Source organism: Homo sapiens, chromosome X (assembly GCF_000001405.40).
Source record: "Homo sapiens chromosome X, GRCh38.p14 Primary Assembly".
In the NCBI taxonomy this organism is placed as follows: Eukaryota; Metazoa; Chordata; class Mammalia; order Primates; family Hominidae; genus Homo; species Homo sapiens.
The window spans coordinates 22071838-22089575 of NC_000023.11; the positions used below are offsets into that span (position 1 = coordinate 22071838).

Genomic DNA, 17738 nt, shown 5'->3' on the forward strand with positions numbered 1-17738 from the left:
CTGTAATCCCAGCACTTTGGGAGGCCGAGGCGGGTGGATCACCTGAGGTCAGGAGTTCGAGATCAGCCTGACCAACATGGTGAAACCCCGTCTCTACTAAAAATACAGGCTGGGCGCGGTGGCTCATGCCTGTAATCCCAGCACTTTGGGAGGCTGAGGCGGGTGGATCACCTGAAGTCAGGAGTTCGAGACCAGCCTGGCTAACATGGTGAAACCCCACCTCTACTAATAATACAAAAAGTTAGCTGGGCATGGTGGCGCATGCCTGTAGTCTCAGCTACTTGTGAGGATGAGTCAGGAGAATCGCTTGAACCTGGGAGGCGGAGGTTGCAGTGAGCTGAGATCCTGCCACTGCACTCCAGCCTGGCGACAGAGCGAGACTCCATCTCAAAACAAACAAACACACAAAAACAAAAAACAAAAAATAGCTGGGCATGGTGACATGTGTCTGTAATCCCAGCTACTTGAGAGGCTGAGGTAGGAGAATCGCGTGAACCTGGGAGGTGGAGATTGCCGTGAGCCGAGATCAAGCCACTGCACTCCAGCCTGGGCGGTAGAGCAAGACTCCATCTCAAAAAAAAAGAAAAATAAAATAAAATGTAGACTATCTTCATGAGTTTGGGATAGGCAGAGATTTCTTGAACGGGACACTAAATATGGTAACCATGGAGGAGAAAAATGGAGAAGCTGAACTAAAATAATTTCAGTTTATTACAAGATACCATTAAAAATGAAGTCTATGTAATGGGATATTTTATAATATATTCAAAAAGGACTCGTACGTAGAATATAGAAAGCACTTCTACAAATCAATAACAAAAAGGTAGATTGCTCTATAAATATGTGATATAGACTTGAATAAGTATTTTACCATAGAGGATGTTAATTTTCTTGCTTGGGGTTAGTGATTGGAAGGGAGCACAAGGGGCTTTTGGGGTTCCAGTAATAATGCTGGTTACTTGAGCGTGTTAACTTTGTGAACATTCTTCACATTATGATCTGTGTACTTTTCTGTATGTTGTATTATTTGTGTACTTTTCTGTACTTTCATTGGAAAAATTTACATAAAAAAAGAAAATGCTTTGCTGTCCAGGATGAAGAATGTGAGCAGAATATTTTTGGAGGTTAACACTGATTGCAAAATATGTCTTCCCATTTAGAATTGCCTCTACTATAGAAGCAGAGGAAATGTTGAGAGCATGGGGCTTTGCAAGGTGGCTATAGCAGGTGCAGTTTGTGAAATAGTCCTACACACAGCCTGGCAGTGTCTTAGGTTAGCATAAGTCCTTTGGCCAACAATATCCTGAGAAGCAAGCAGGAGAACAAACACAGTTATGGAGGAAGCACTAGAAACAAGCTTGATTACTTGACAGTTTTGTATAGGGCGAATTCTGCCTGTAATCCTGTTTAAGTCACCACTTACTGATCCCCGTTATCATGTGCCCAGGCACCAAGATGGGGGCTTTCTGTGTATTAAAAATTTTAAATCCTCAGCACAATCCTGGGAAGCATGTACTATTATTATTTGACTTTACAGATAAAGAAACTGGGGCTTAGAGGGATTAAATAACTCGCTCGAATTCCAGCTAGCAAGTTGCAGCAAGCTGCAACTGGAACCCATGTCTGTGTGATTCCAAAGCACCCCCTTCCCACATGTCTATTATGTTGCCTTTAAAAAAAAGTTATTTGATGGAGCATAGTGAGAAGAAAAATACTTAATATGTACTTAATGTTCAAATTTGATGATCAGAAGAACTTCTCAAACCACTTTTAAAGTCTGAGGTTTGCTGTGCTATAGTTTTTTTTTTTTTTTTTTTTTTTTTTTGGAAACACACTTTGTCGCCCACGCTGGAGTGTAGTGGCGAGATCTTGGCTCACTGCAACCTCTGCCTCCTGGGTTCAAGCGATTCTCCTGCCTCAGCCTCCCGAGTAGCTGGGACTACAGGTGTGCGCCACCATACCCGGCTAATTTTTGTATTATTAGTAGAGGTGGGGTTTCACCACATTGGCCAGGCTGGTCTCAAACTCCTGACCTTGTGATCTGCCCGCCTCGGCCTCCCAAAGTGCTGGGATTGCAGGCATGAGCCACCGCGCCTGGCCTGCAGTTTTATGAACTGCTATTGTCCTTTGCAGTTGTAAGGTGGTAAGAAATACCTGGGTGGGGTGGAGGTGGGGATTGAGAAATCCTCCAAGAAACAACACAGGCTATGATTGGAATGCCCCTGTATGGGTGACCCATGAGCCTTTCTCAATGCTTTGGGGACATTTTAATAACCTGAGTAATTACCTGTGGTACGCAGGCTTTGTTTTCTACTCATTAATAACTCTCCAGGCTACATTTTATTCTTCTTACTGCTAATTCACATGCAGAGATACATAAAATGGATGCTGTCAACTGATTGCCACATCACTGTCTGCATATCAATGCTCTCCTGTCTGCTTGGGCTCAGAGAGAAGGAAAGAAGAGAAGGAAAAGGGTATGGCAAGGAACTTGTGATAGCCGAATCTGTTTTAAAAGCCAAATTCTGGTACAGAAACCAGAATTTTGACATATACAAATTATTGATATTTGTGCATGGTTAGTGTTTTGGGATTGCCCTATTTAGCATCTGCTGATCCTCTTTTTCCCTCCCTGTGATAGATAGCATGCCTTGGAAGCAGACACAGGTAAATATTTAATGCTTTTAGTTTTTTTTGCTCCTGTGGCTTGTTTGGCCCTTAGGGCATTCATGTTTTTTAGCCTGTGGAGTGCTTATAGCATCAGAACATCATCACAACCCTAAATGAAATTTGGATTATTTACTTCTAAGTATGTTTCCCAAATAGTCTAATGACTGTGTAAGCAATATAGTGGAAGGGTACAGGAGCCGATTTGAATGGAAATATATGTGGATATGGCTTTAGATCTTTCTGCGTATTAAAAAAAAATCTCCTTTAAAAAATCCTTGGGGACCTGGCACGGTGGCAGTGGCTCATGCCTGTAATCCCAGCACTTTGGGAGGCCAAGGCAGGTGGATCACCTGAGGTCAGGCGTTTGAGACCAGCCTGGCCGACATGGTGAAACTCCATCTCTACTAAAAATACAAAAAATTAGCCGAGTGTGGTGGTGTGCACCTGTAATCTCAGCTACTCGGGAGGCTGAGACAGGAGAATTGCTTGAACACGGGAGGCAGAGGCTGCAGTGAGCTGAGATCCTGCCACTGCACTCCAGCTTGGGTGACAGAGTGATACTCTGTTTCAAAAAAAAAAAAAAATCCTTGGGGCTAGTTATCTTGATTTTATTATTATGATGATACACAAGAAAGAAAACACCAAACAAGCTGAAATAATTGAAAATACTCACATCCAACCCAATTTAATTTATTTCACTGGAATCTATCTAGTTATATGGACTTGTTTTAGGTACAGGTACTTATTTTTAAAAAACTAGACAGGAGCTCTGGGTTGCTTTTTTTTTTTTTTTTTTTTTGAACTGTAGAACTTCTGGTTTAGAAGTAAGATTCCTCTTCAGGAGATATACAATTATTTATTAACTTAATTAGTGCCGTACATTTTGTCTTGAAGCTATTCAGAGTATTATAGGAACATCTGTTGTACTGTGATTATGATGGCTGCTAGGCTGTTTCCCCAAATGCCTTGACAAGGCAGTTTGACATAGTTCGGTGAAGGCAGTGCCCTGGTGCTGCAGTCACCATAGGGATTTTTCATCTTGGCTTCATGTTGGTAGATTGATACTCTCAAGTACGTTCAAGGTTCTCTTTTTCGGGAGAGGGTTGTTTTCATTGAGTCCTGGCTTTCCTCTTTCCTTATTTAATGAAATAGTGACAACTATCATTTTCTACCTTCAAACATTATTATTAGTGATTTTATAAATAGAAAATTATTTTCCAGGTGGGCCTATGTCTGTGCTGGCAACCATTGTGTACACACGGACTCTCTTAGATGTTTAGGACTTTGCATGTGTAAACGGGCAAGTTTTCAGGCAATTCGGGTAGGTTTTCCAATCTTGTCTTTCCATTTCCTGTCTAAAGAACTTCTTCCATGTCCACAGCATGTTTATTCAACAATGGATAAAACTTCTAATGGGAAATTTCTTCCGGGTGACCTCCTTGAGAGGCTGGGCTGTGGAGAAATCTTAAGAAACACAACCCTGATGAAATTGGCTCCGTTGAGAATATTACTTGGTCCAGGAACAAGGGACAGAATTCAGTTATTTTTGGTTCTTGAATAAATGAATTCTGTTTCCTTTTGTGTAGGTGGCAGAAGAAATTAACCCCTGTAGAACATCCATTCTCAGTTGGAAATTAAATTTTTGGTTTCTTTTGAGTTAGGAGTACCCTGGATAAGAGAATGTAAAACTGTTTTTATTTGAACCTCATGCAACTTGGAATCTGTTCTGTTGTCTGCATATCTTTGATAGATTTGTCTTTTCCAGGGTTGTCTGTCTTTGTATTTAATTTTCTGGAGGTTGGAATTGTGATTATCAAATGACTTCCAACTTGGCACCATATGTGGGTGGATACTAATGAATCCTTTCTTAACCTTCCCAGAACTTTTGGAGAAATCAATCAGTAGAAGGCGGGACACCGAAGCCATACAGAAAGCCAAAATCCTTTATTCATCCTGCATGAATGAGAGTGAGTGATGAAGAAAACTAAATAAAATATTTACCATCCCTATCCTTTAGAGTTCTATTAATGTTTTAATATATTGTTTGAGGAAGAAGAGAACTACTAAGAATTCTATTAATGTTTAAAGGTGTTAAAGGAATGATTGTGAAAGACTGGATTTTGACTAGTCCCATCTTAGTTAATGTTGTTACTGGCTTGGTGGAGAAAATCTTATTTATATGAGTTGGATTCTTTGGGTATCATTTACTCCCTGAGAAACTTAGACAAAGTCAGCAGGGCAAACTCCACTGTATCTGGTAGAGAATCCAGAAGCCAGGCCAAGTCTGGCTTGAGACAGAGACTGGGAGGGAGTGCACCTACTGGAGCCTAGAGAAATCCAGATTCCCAGGCATGCCAGGTTCCTGTGTCAGCCTAACAGGCATCTTTGTTGGGTCCTTAGCCCTGTCTCAATATCTTGGGTCTGATTGGAATCAGAACAGATACTGGCCACTTGACCTGGTCTGCCTTCTCAAGCCCACCACAGGAAGAAGCCAGTGCCTGTGGGAAGTGTGTCAACTGGTCTAGGATTTGGGGTATCATGTGGTGAGCTAGAAAAGAGCAATAAAAGACAGGAATCTGAAGCATCACTTCTTCTTCATTGGGTAGTGATTGGCTTTATTGAGGCATTCCTTTAGTTAGGGTTGTAACTTAGTCCCACCAAGTATTATTCATTGGCTGGGTTCCATGTAGAGAATCCATGTTTATTGTAGTGAATATCCAGCAGTTTCCCTGGTCAGCTCTCCTGGCAAGAACACTAGGTATAGACAGTCACATTGAAGCGTGGATCGTAGGTAGTTCTGTCTCTGTGATTATGCTCATCCCACCCCACCTCTTTTACCTACTCCCTAACAGCTGAAATTTTAAGTTGGAGCATTATGGGAATTTTGTCTTGAGAAGATGCACTTAAATTCTAGTGTGCTGATCCAGTTTGCAATTCTAACTTTCTCTTCATATCTGCTCCCTTTCAGAAGCGATTGAAAAAGCAGATGCCAAGCCACTGCTACACATCCTACGGCATTCACCTTTCCGCTGGCCCGTGCTTGAATCTAATATTGGCCCTGAAGGGGTTTGGTCAGAGAGAAAGTTCAGCCTTCTGCAGACACTTGCAACGTTTCGTGGTCAATACAGCAATTCTGTGTTCATCCGTTTGTATGTGTCCCCTGATGACAAAGCATCCAATGAACATATCTTGAAGGTATAATGAGGACCCATTCATCTTCTTTGCTCAGTCCTAGATTAGCCTTTTGGGGTGCCATCCTGGGGAAAGAGACTCATGCTGCCTTAGTGAAATAATAACATAAAACACTTTTATTGAATAGTAGAATCCAGAATATTCCCTTCTCCCGGCTTTGCAGAATGTAGACCATTACCATACAAGTTTTGTAAGCCTTTTGGAAAACTAGTGAATTAGTTTCAAGTGATCTGTGATCTGGCCCTCATATGCCTACTCAGAGCAAGCCTAGGGTTCCTAAATTCCAGTGGGAAGGGGACTGCAGGTCTCCTGTTGTTAGCAGAGATTTTCTGAGCCCTGCTCTTGTCCTTGCCTCCTCACTCCCTTGATAGAGGAGAAAACACGTGCCATGATTTTTTGTTCCTCTTTCACTAACATTTTCTTGTGCACACACCTAAATTTTAGTTATCAACTTCACTCTGAATCTCTCCTCCCTCCTTTCCAAAGATACAGCAAAACTTGTTCTGTTCCAAGTGCTTGGTTGCGTTTTCTGTTGGAAGACTAACCATGTCTCCCATAAAGCAATGGGCCACATGGACATACCCTGAGGCATTTCACACTGGTAAAATCAGGAGGCTGTCAGAAAACTACCAACAGCTAAAGACTCACCAATGAAAGAGCTATGCAAGAATTCAAATAACATTCGTCAAATAGTTTTGTGCTTTGATCCTGCTGGGTTTTGTTTTGTTTTGCTTCCACAGTTACTTTGACTAATAATGAAAATGTTATTGCATGACTGATTTTCTCCCCAATTCTGTCCTTAGTCAAATCAGAAAATATTAATGAAATATTGATATTCAAATTGTAGACATGTATTGCCCTCACCTCATGCATTTTAACCTTCTAAAATCCAAATCTTAAAGTTCATCGTTTGATTGAAGCTGGTCATCGTTTGATCAGAGATTGGCACATTTTTTGGGTAAAGGGCCAGATAATACATATTTTAGGGTTTGCAGGCCGTCTGGTCTCTGTTGCAACTACTTAATTCTGCCATTGTGTCTGGGAAAGCAACTGCAGACAACAAAGGTATGGCTGTATGGCGGGCTGGCCCAGTGGCTGTAGTTTTCTCACCTCTAGGTTAGACAATGGAATTCTCAGTAAAAATCTTTGGTCATTGAAAGGACTCCCCTCTACTCAGGAGGAAATTCTGAGTTCCAGAGACAACTGTGTTTCTATGTTTGGTGATGAAATGAGCCATCTTCTAATGCTATCAGGATAAGATGTGCTATGTAAGACACAATGATGATGACGACCCAACTGATCTCTGTACTGTGTTGATATATCACTCATTTTTTGAAACTAGGTTTTAAGACTATCATTATCAGTTCCAGAACTATTATGATGTTCTTTCAAACACCTTAAGTTGGTGTTTTGAAGTAAGCTGAAGGCTGTTTTCCAAACTTAAGTTTAAGTTTATACATTCTATTGAGTGATAGAAGATCTTGATTCACACACAGATGAATAATTGCAAACGGTAGCCATTTTATTATCTTTCTCACCTATTTCTGGATCTATTCAATTGAATTTATTGCTTTAAACTTTTTATTATTAAAATGTGGTACAAAATTAAAGAATAGAAAAATAAACTCCCATGTATCCATCAACCCAGCTTCAACAACTCTCAACCTTCTGATGTTATGTTTCTTTCTGCAGTTATGTTTTAATCTAGAGCCCTCCTTTTTTGGGAGGTGGCTAGAACATTTTATAGCAAATTAAAAATATATCATTGCATAGTAAATACTTCAGTGCTTAGCTAGTGGAAAGGACTATTATCACAACCAAAAAGATAATCATAATTCCATAATTAACATCTAATAACTAGTTAATTTTCAATTTTTCTGATTGTCTTAAACATGTCCTTAAAAAAAAAAACAGTTGGTCTTTGATTCAATCTCCAAATAAAAATCACAGGTGAACTTAGTTGATATGTCTGTTTTACTCCACAAGGGATCCCCCTATTTTTGTTTTTTAAACCACATTTATTTGTTGAAGAAACTGGAGTATTTGTCCTGTAAACTGTCTTACATTCTGAATTTGACTGTTTTCAGGGTAATCTAATAGCTGATGAAAGTTCTTGTTTATAGGAGAATCACAGCTTAAAAATGCAGAAGAAATAATAGGAAGCTATCTATTTAAAAAAAAATCCCTAAGGAAAGGATTGATCTAGGCAATTATCATCAATGGCTGCTAAAACCATTAGGTAAATGGTTGATTGGGAAATTCATGATATCAGACCGATATCACCTGAACCCTAATATCAATGATAGCATTGCTAAAAGTGGGGCAACCAGATATTGTGTGCCTCCTGGTATCAGTAGGAAGTGCACACTATCACCAGTGATGTTGTCGTGCCCCCACAATTGAGCCTCTAGTTTTAAGAGGAGCTTACAGAAAACATGGGGAATAGAGAAACATGGTAACCAATTTTTAATAGCTTGCCTTGTATACTTAATATTCAATTAAACTGATCCTAGAAACACTAAAATGTCAATGATAGAATACTTTCCAAATGTAAGGAGGCACCCATGTACTTATTATTGCTCTCTTTTGTCAAGATGGCAGCTTGTTCCAAACTGGTGTTTGAACATTGTTTGGCATTTGAGTGCGGCAAACGTTTGCTTAAGTTCTGTTCCTGTTTGTACCTTTTTCCATGACTGAATATTCACACATCTGAACTAATTGCCTTCCCTCAGATATAATATAATTATAGTCTTCCTGATGACACATTTACAAGAGTTCGAGCATGTATCTGGAGGTGGTAGGAGAAGTTTTATTCTGAGAGCTGCATGAAACCCATTGAACCTGATAACAAAAATTAGCGTACTGGTGGCTGCCAAAGTTGTAGAATTTGCAAGTGTTGCTTTTTTATTCATTTAAAAATAGTTAAAACTATAAAAGACAAAATCTAATTGGATGAACATTTGAAGCCCCCCCCACTTATAGGTTTTGTGGAACATAGTTTGAAAACTACTGGTATAGTTAAAAAACAAACAAAAAAAATAATAGGCTTTGGTATTTAAAAGATTGAGGTTTGCAGTTTAGCTTTGTGATGTACTCACCGAATATCCTCGTGCAAATTACTTCACCTCGCTGATTTCACTTTTCCCATGTGTACGGAAGGGTGAATTAGAATTTACTTTTAATCGTCATTGACGTTCAAATGAATTGACTTTTGTGACAGTTTTCACTGTAGATACTGGTCCACAGTAGCACACGACACAAGGTTCCGAACCTACTCTTCAAGCATGACCCAGCAACTGGTCAGGACCATTTGGAGAATGTTTTTCTTTGACATGTGGTACCCGATATGCCTCTCAGAGCTCAAACTCAGTAGTGCAAGGAATAGGAATTTTGTTTACTCAACCTAATATTTGACTTTTAGCTCCCACCCAACCTTTTGGTGGGAAACTGAACCTTAGTCTAGGCATTTACCTCCCCTCTTGGTGGCCCCATTTCTCGGTCTTTTCCTAGGGTATTGGGAAACTGCAATAACCAGTTATCTGGTTTCTGAGAAGAAACCCACTATGGAACCATGTAGCCTCTTCAAGTGTGCCCCTCTGATGCTGAGGTCCTGCGACTCCCATTCCTTCTCAGATCCTGCCATGTTTTGGGGTGATCAGTTCCTCTGCTCATGAGAATTCTTGACTTCTTTTGCTGCTTGAAAGATCCTCTTTCTGCTCTGGGAGAAATCCCTCTTACCTGAAACTCTCTTCCCTCAATGTCGTTAGGCTTCCTTTTCCATCGAATTCAATTTTCTTCGGTGTGCTTAGCTTTTCTAATCCCACAAACCCACAGGAATAAGAGAAGGGCCTTTTGGGCAGGCACAGCACTGTGGGCATCCTTTTGGGTGAGCAGATGGTGCCTTTGGGTGAAGAGACAGGCACCCTTTCTAAGGGTTAGATATATCCCCATGCCAAAGACATGCAGTTTGGCCAGCAGGGGTCGCTCTAATCTACACAGCGTACTTCTGCAAAGCTCCCCTGTGGCAAAATGATACAGGGTTTGCTACAGGCTTAAATGAGGTAAAGGAATTCCAAAAATAAAGAAAACAACAGAAGTTAGTGACCAAAAACATTATCTTGCTGCACACGTTTGGATTTATTCTATGTCAGGAGATAGTATGAGGATTTAAGGGACAATAAAAGACGTGAGTATATGTGATCCTGAAAGAGTATTTGGAAGGCCAAGGATGTCCCAGTATGTATTACTAGTTAATGAAGACAACAACTTAAAGTCATCATCTCACAACAGCCTGCATTTTTCTGGCTCTCAGCAAAACTCGTAAAAAATGGCAAGGAGAAACTCCAAGAAAATTTGAAAAGTTTCATTCTCTTTCCTTTTCCTTTTTTTCTCAGGAACTGACAGAACATAGAATTTTATTTTATTATTGTTATTTTTTATTGATACGTAACTACACATTTTCATGGTACATGTGATAATCTGATACATTCATATAATCAAATCATGGTAACTGGGATATATCCAATAATGGGATTGCTGGGTCAAATGGTAGTTCTGTTTTAAGTTTTTTCAGAAATCACCAAACTGCTTTCCACAGTGGCTGGACTAATTTACATTCCCACCAGCAGTGTATAAGAGTTTCTTTTTCCTTATATCCATGCCAACATCTATTATTTATTGACTTTTTGATAATAACCATTCTGACTGGTGTGAGATGGTATCTCATTGTGGCTTTGATTCACATTTCTCTACCGATTAGTGATGGTGAGCTTTTTTTCATATGCTTGTTGGTCACACGTATGTCTTCTTTTGAAAAGTGTCTGTTTATGTCCTTTGTCTACTTTTTAATGGGGTTGTTTGGTTTTTGCTTATAAATTTGTTTATGTTCCTTGTAAATTCTGGATATTAGACCTTTGTCGGATGCACAGTTTCCAAATACTTTCTGCCGTTCTGTGGGTTGTCTGTTTATTCTGTTGATAGCTTCTTTTGCTGTGCAGAAGCTCTTTGGTTTAATTAAGTCCCGTTTGTCATTTTTTGTTTTTGTTGCAATTGTTTTGGGCATCTTCATCATGGAATCTTGCCCAAAGTAATTTACAGATTCAATGCTATTTCTATCAAACTACCAATGACATTGTTCACAGAATTAGAAAAAGGCTATTCTAAAATTCATATGGAATCAAAACAGAGCCCGAATAGCCAAAGCAATCCTAAGCAAAAAGAACAAAGCTGGAGGCATCACATTACCCGATTTCAAACTATAGTATAAGGCTGTAGTAACAAAAACAGTGTGGCCGGTACAACTACGGATACATAGATCAATGGAAGCAGCCCAGAAATAAAGCTGCACACCAACAACCATCTGATCTTTGATAAAGTCTACAAAAACAAGCAATGGGTAAAGGACTGTGGTGCTGGGATAACTGGCTAGCCATATGCAGAAGATTGAAACTGGACCCATCCCTTTTATCATATACAAAAATCAACTCAAGATGGATTAAAGATGTAAATGTAAAACCTAAAACTGTGAAAACCCTTGAAGAAAACCTAGGAAATACCATTCCAGACATAGGCCCTGTACTATATTTTGAAGTCAGGTAATGTGATTCTCCAGCTTTGTTATTTTTGCCCAGGATCGCTTTGGCTATTTGGGGTCTTTCGTGGTTCCATATAAAATTTAGGATTTGTTTTTTCTATTTTGTGAGGAATGTCAATGGTATTTTGATAGAGGTTGTGTTGAATCTGTAAATTGCTTTCAGTGGTATTGTCATTTTAACAATATTCTACTAATTCATAAGCATGGAGTATCCTTCCATTTTTTTGTGTCCTTTTCAACTTCTTTCATCAACATTTTATAGTTTTCTTTACATGAATCTTTTATTTCATGGGTTAAATTGATTCCTAGGTGTTTTATATTGTAAATGATATTGTTTATTGATTTCTTTTTCAGATTATTTGCTTTTGGTGTATACAATGCTGTTGATTTTGTATACTCGAACTTTACTACATTTGTTGATCAGTTCTAATAGTTTTTTGGTAGAGCCTTTAGGTTTATCCAAATATAAGATCATGTTATCTCTGTACAAGGCTAATTTGACTTCTTCCTTTCCAGTTTGGATGCCCTTTATTTATTTCTCTTGCCTAATTGCTCTGGCCAGGACTTCTAGTATTGCGCTGAATAAAAGAGGACAAAACAGGCATCCTTGTCTTGTTCTACATCTTAAAAGAAAGGCTTTTAATTTTTCACCATTCGGTATGATGTTGGTTATGTGTTTGTCAGATATGGCTTTTACTTTTTGAGGTGTGTTCCTTCTGTACCCAGTTTGTTGAGGGTTTTTGTCATAAAGGGATGTTGAATTTTATTGAATGCTTTTACAGAATGTATTAGAATGATTATGTGATTTTTGTTCCTGGTTCTGTTAATGTGATGTGTTTATATTTATGTACTTGAATTTGGATTTTCCATTTAATTTATTTTTTTTGAGATGGGATCTCACTATGCTGCCCAGGCTGGACTTGGGTTCAAGTGATCATCTAGCCTCAGCCTCCTGAGTAGCTGGTACTACAGGTGCATGCCACTGCACCCAGCATATCATGTCTATTGATTTGTGTATGTTGAACTATCCTGGCATCCCTGGATTAATCCCACTCAATCATAGTGAATGATCTTTTTCATGTATTGTTGAATTAGGTTAGCTAGTATTTTGTTGATAATTTTTGCATCTATGTTCCTAAGTCATATTGGCTGGTAGTTTTCTTTTCTCCTTGTGTCCTTGTGCAGTTTTGGTATCGGGGTAATGCTGGACTCATAGAATGAGTTTGGAAGTATTCCCTTCTCTTCAGTTTTTTTTTTTTTTTTTTTGGAAGAGTTTGAATATAATTTGTATTGCTTCTTTAAATGTTTTGTAGAATTTGGTAGTGAAGACATCAAGTCCTGGGCTTTTCTTTGATGGGAGACCTTTTATTATGGCTTCAATCTTGCTACTAGGTATTAGTTTGTTGAGGTTTTCTACTTCTTCATGGTTCAATGTTGGTAGGTTGCATATGTCCAGGAATTTATTCATTTCTTCTAGATGTTCCACTTTGTTGGCATATAGCTGTTCATAATAGTCTTTATAATTCTTTGTATTTCTGTGGTCTCAGTTGTGTCTTCTTTTTCATTTCTGATTTTATTTATTTGTGTCTTCTCTCTTTTATTGTTAGTCTAGCTAAAGATTTGTTGATTTTCAAAAAAAAAGCCAACTTTTTTCATTAATTTTTTTTGGTGTTTTTATAGTCTACATTTCATTTATTTCTATTTTAATCTTTATTATCTCTGTCTACTAATTTGGGGTTTGGTTTGTTCTTATTTTTCTAGTTCCTTGAGTTGTATCATTAGATTGTTTATGAATTGTTATTTGAAGTCTTTCAACCTTTTTGATGTAGGCTTTTATTGCTATAAAATTCCTTTTCAGTACTCCTTTGGCTGTGTTTCATAGATTTTAATATGTTGTAATTTCATTTTCATTTGTTTAAAGAAATTTTTAAATTTCATTTTTATTTTTTTCATTGACCCATTGGTCATTCAGGAGCATATTGTTTAATTTCCACGTGTTTGGCCAGGCATGGTGGCTCATGCCTGTAATCCCAGCACTATGGGAGGTCGAGGCAGGTGGATCACCTGAGGTCAGGGGTTTGAGACCAGCCTGACCAACATGGTGAAACTCTGTCTCTACTAAAAATACAAAAATTAGCCAGGCATGGTGTCGGGTACCTGTAATCCCACCTACTCGGGAGGCTGAGGTGGGAGAATTGCTTGAACCTGGGAGGTGGAGGTTGCAGTGAGCTGAGATCATGCCACTGCACTCCAGCCTGGGCAACAAAGCGAGACTCCATCTCAAAAAAAAAAAAAAAAAGATTCCATGTGTTTGTGTATTTTCCAAGTTTCCTCTTATTATTGATTTTTAGTTCCATTGTGGTCAGAAAAGATAACTGATATGATTTCTGCTTCTTTGAATTTGTGGAGACTTACTTTGTGGCTTAAAATATGATCTATCCTGGAGAATGTTCCACATGGTGATAAAAAGAATATGTATTCTGCAGCAATTGGGTGAAATGTTCTGTAAATGTCAGTTAGGCCTATTTGGCTTAGTGTCTAGTTTAACGCTGATGTTTCTTTGTTGATTGTCTAGATGATCTATCCATTAGAGTGGAGTGTTGAAGTTCCCTATCATTACTGTATTGCAGTCTCCCTCTCCCTTTAGATCTGTTAATATTTGCTTTATATACTTAGGTGCTCCAGTGTTGGGTGCATAGGTATTTATAATTGAGATAGGCAGTATATTGCTATATCTCCACTAGGTCCTTGCCTTTTTTTCTGGCACTAAATGGCACCTTAAGCCTACGTTTGCTTTGACTCTAGCCCAAGATCAGAGCACTCCCAGTCCAGATATAGGGGAGGTCCTAAAGAGGATATCCTGGCAGTGTGGAAAAGCTGGCTGGCGGCTAGTGTACAGGTGACCTTTGGAATGAACCTCCTATAGCATAATGCTGCTGAACAGCCACTCTGATTTGGTGTCTCCTTTGGCCGAGTTACGGAGCAGAGTTTCCAGGGCTGGGTATGGTAGTCCCACCTCCCCTCTTTGTCTCTTGCTGTCTTCAGAAATATATCTCCCTTCAGGCACTCATGATGCCTTCTGTGGGTTAAGGTATGGGCAGGTCTTCTGTCAAAGAACCCAAGATGGTCAGGAAGCTGGTTGTCCACCTTGATCTCACTTTTTCCAGTGTAGAAACTATGAGTCAGGGAAAATTTCTGCAGGCTTGTTGCTGGACAGATTGGTTGGAAGGGCATCATAGAGAAATTTTATTATCCTTTGTCTGCTTGGAGTTTTTTCACTTCTCTGTGGCCTCAGCAACTGATTCATCCTTATATTTGAGTTCTGGGATATTGCTGGTGAGAATCTTAGTGCTGTATATTTGTTTTTAGTTTCCTGTGTATATGTTGGGGTGGGGAGGGAAGCCAGCTTCTGTCTCCACCACCATTTTGAAACCTGAAGTCCAGACTCCATTTCCTACCTCAAAATTTGTAAGCTCTTTCTTCTTGTATTACTACTTTGTCTTCTAACTTGAGGTTTATTATCATTGGAATGCCAGTTGTAATTGGAGAAAACATTTATATTTTCAGTTAAATGTGTTGGATTTCCTAAAAAACATACTTTATTTTCTGCTTACAGTATTTAGATCAGTTGTAAATGCAAGGATTTAAAAAATCTCAACGCAGTGTCCTGATTGCTTCATGAGAAAGTCTTTTGCCTCAAGAGTTTGTATGTTTCTAATGAGATTTATTTGACTGACCTTATTCAATTTGTTGGTTGGTGTGTTTAAAATGTTCCCTAGAAACCATAACAATCTGAAAGTTTATAAAAGGTCTGGTAACCTCACTTGAATTATCTAAACTTTTACAATAAGTGGATTTAACTTTATTTCATGAGAGGGAAACTTTGGCTTTCTTGATAATATCTACACAGTTTCCTTTCCTATGAGACTCAAGCTCAAAAGATTCTTCAAGTGGTCCAAATTTAATTGAAAGCCAAAGTGTCTTAATCATAATATTGTGTTTCATGATCGTGGCTTGCTTAATTTTTGGAAGAAATAGTGGCAGATTGGGAATTGCAGTAGGACGAAGCCAGGAAGGCTTGTGACTTTGTTGTTTCAGGCCAATGAGAGAGGGTTGAACAAAATAATTTGAGGATTTTAGCAGTATACACAGACAAGATGGGTGTTTTGAAAGTGCCTTTTTTCCCCTGAAACAAGAGTTATGTTTTTCCTGGAATTTTTCATAATATCACTAATTCTTAACGTGGCCTTTGTAAAATTTGTTGTATATTAAGGGCAGTTTCATGGAAAACTGTAATCTTATACAAATTTATGTATTTAAGATTATAGTAAGACGAAAAAGAAGCTGGAGGAGATGGGTCAAAACAGTTTAAAGTCATATAAACTAATGGTATGGGCATGTAGGATTCAGTTTTTATTCAGATATTACTAATTTTTAATTTGTTGTTTAGATTTTGTTTCTTATTATTTTGGCTTAATGTTTAATGTGTGAATTAGAGATTTAATTTGGAAAAATCTACTCTTCTTGAGATTCATTTTATTTATCTTTAGTCAGTTGCTGATATTCAAGAAAGAACAAACCACAGATTTAGAGAAGGTGCTGGAAATTTTTTTAAAGTATCTTAAAATTTACATAAATTCATTTTTTGTGATGTACATGTCTAAGTTTTGACAAATGCATAGAGTCATGTAACCACCACTGTAATCAAGAAATAGAATAGTCCCATCATCCACCCCCAAATACCTCATGTTATCCCTTTGCTAAGTCAAGCCCTCTCCTCATGCCCAAACCCTGTTAGCCATCACTTTGTTCCCTGTTCCTGTAAAGTTTGGCTTTTTCAGGATGTAAGTAAAATTCACCCATGTTGTATCAGTTCATTCTCTTTTATTGTTGAGTAGTATTCCATTGTATACCACAGTTTATGCTTTCATGAATTGGAGGACATTTGGGTTGTTTCCAGTTTTGGGTGATATTGAATAAAATTACATACAGGTTTTTGTGTGACTTTAAATTTTTTTCCTGGGTAAATACCTAGAAGTAGGATTGCTGGCTCTTGTGTAAATGTATGTTGAACTTTATAAGAAACTGTAAAATTGGTTTCCTTCCAAAGTGGCTGTGCCATTTTGCATTCTTACCAGTAATACATGAGTGATCCAACTTTTCCACGTCCCCACCAGCAGTTGTCAGATTTTTTTTTCCATTTTAACAGATCTATGGTAGTGTTTTATTGTGGGTTTAATTTACATTTTCCTAATGACTAATGATGTTGGGCATATTTTCGTGTTCTTATTTTCTATCTTCATATGTTCTTTGATGAAGTGTCTGTTAGAATCGTTTGCTCAATTTTAAATTGAGTTGTTTCTTTTCTTATGGTTGAGTTTTGAGGAATCTTTATGTATTCTAGATACACGTCCTTTGTCATATATGTGATTTTCAGATATTTTCCCCATTCTGTGGCTTGTCTTTTTATTCTGTTAAGTTTCTTTCAAGAGCAAATTTGTTCAATGTCGATAAAGTCTAATTTATTTTTTCTTTTAAGGATTGTGATTTTATTGTCATGTCTAAAAACTCTTTGTCTAACCCCTAGTAACAAAAATTTTTCCCAATATTTTTTCCAGAAGTTTTATAGTTTTAGGTTTTACATTTAGGGCTATGATTCATTTTCAGTTAATTTTTGACTAAGGTGTGAGGTATGTGTAAAGGTTTATTTTCTTTTTGCTTATGGATGCCCAGTTTTTCTTTTCTTTGAGATGGAGTCACACTCTGTCACCCAGGCTGGAGTGCAGTGGCGCCATCCCAGCTTGCTGCAACCTCCGCCTCCTGGGTTCAAGTGATTCTCCTGCCTCAGCTTCCCAAGTAGCTAGAATTACAGGTGCGTGCCGCCACACCTGGCTCATTTTTGTATTTTTAGTAGAGACTGGGTTTTACCGTGTTGGCCAGGCTGGCCTTGAATTCCTGACCTCAAGTGATCTGCCTGCCTTGGCCTCCCAAAGTGCTGGGATTACAGGCATGAGCCACCACACAAGGCCTGGATGTCCAGTTTTTCTAACACGCTCTTTGAAAAGACTGTCTTCTTTCTTTTGTTTACCTTTAAGGTGCTGAAAGTTTTTTTTGTTTTTTTTTTGTTTTTTTTGTTTTTTTTTCCTGAGACAGAGTTTTGCTCTGTTGCCCAGGCTGGAGTGTAGTGGCGTGATCTCTGCTCACTGCAGCCTCCATCTCCCAGGTTCAAGCAATTCTCCTGCCTCAGCCTCCTGAGTAGCTGGGATTACAGCCACACGCTACC

At 38.5% G+C, this 17738-nt stretch overlaps 1 protein-coding gene across 6 annotated transcripts in view; it reads left to right on the forward strand.

Moving 5' to 3' along the window:
• PHEX (phosphate regulating endopeptidase X-linked) overlaps positions 1-17738 on the forward strand; it is a 218986-nt gene that overhangs the window by 39513 nt on the left and 161735 nt on the right. For 4 of the 6 annotated variants that reach the window (NM_000444.6, NM_001282754.2, XM_047442159.1 and 1 more), the window contains exons 4-5: positions 4551-4637; positions 5639-5865. The exons of 1 other annotated variant lie outside the window; for it this stretch is intronic. In NM_000444.6, coding sequence (NP_000435.3) covers positions 4551-4637; positions 5639-5865 — 314 coding nt within the window. Of the gene's footprint in view, positions 1-4550; positions 4638-5638; positions 5866-14422; positions 14457-17738 lie in introns of those variants that run through there. One more of the 6 variants, XM_011545533.2, reaches the window with a different exon arrangement.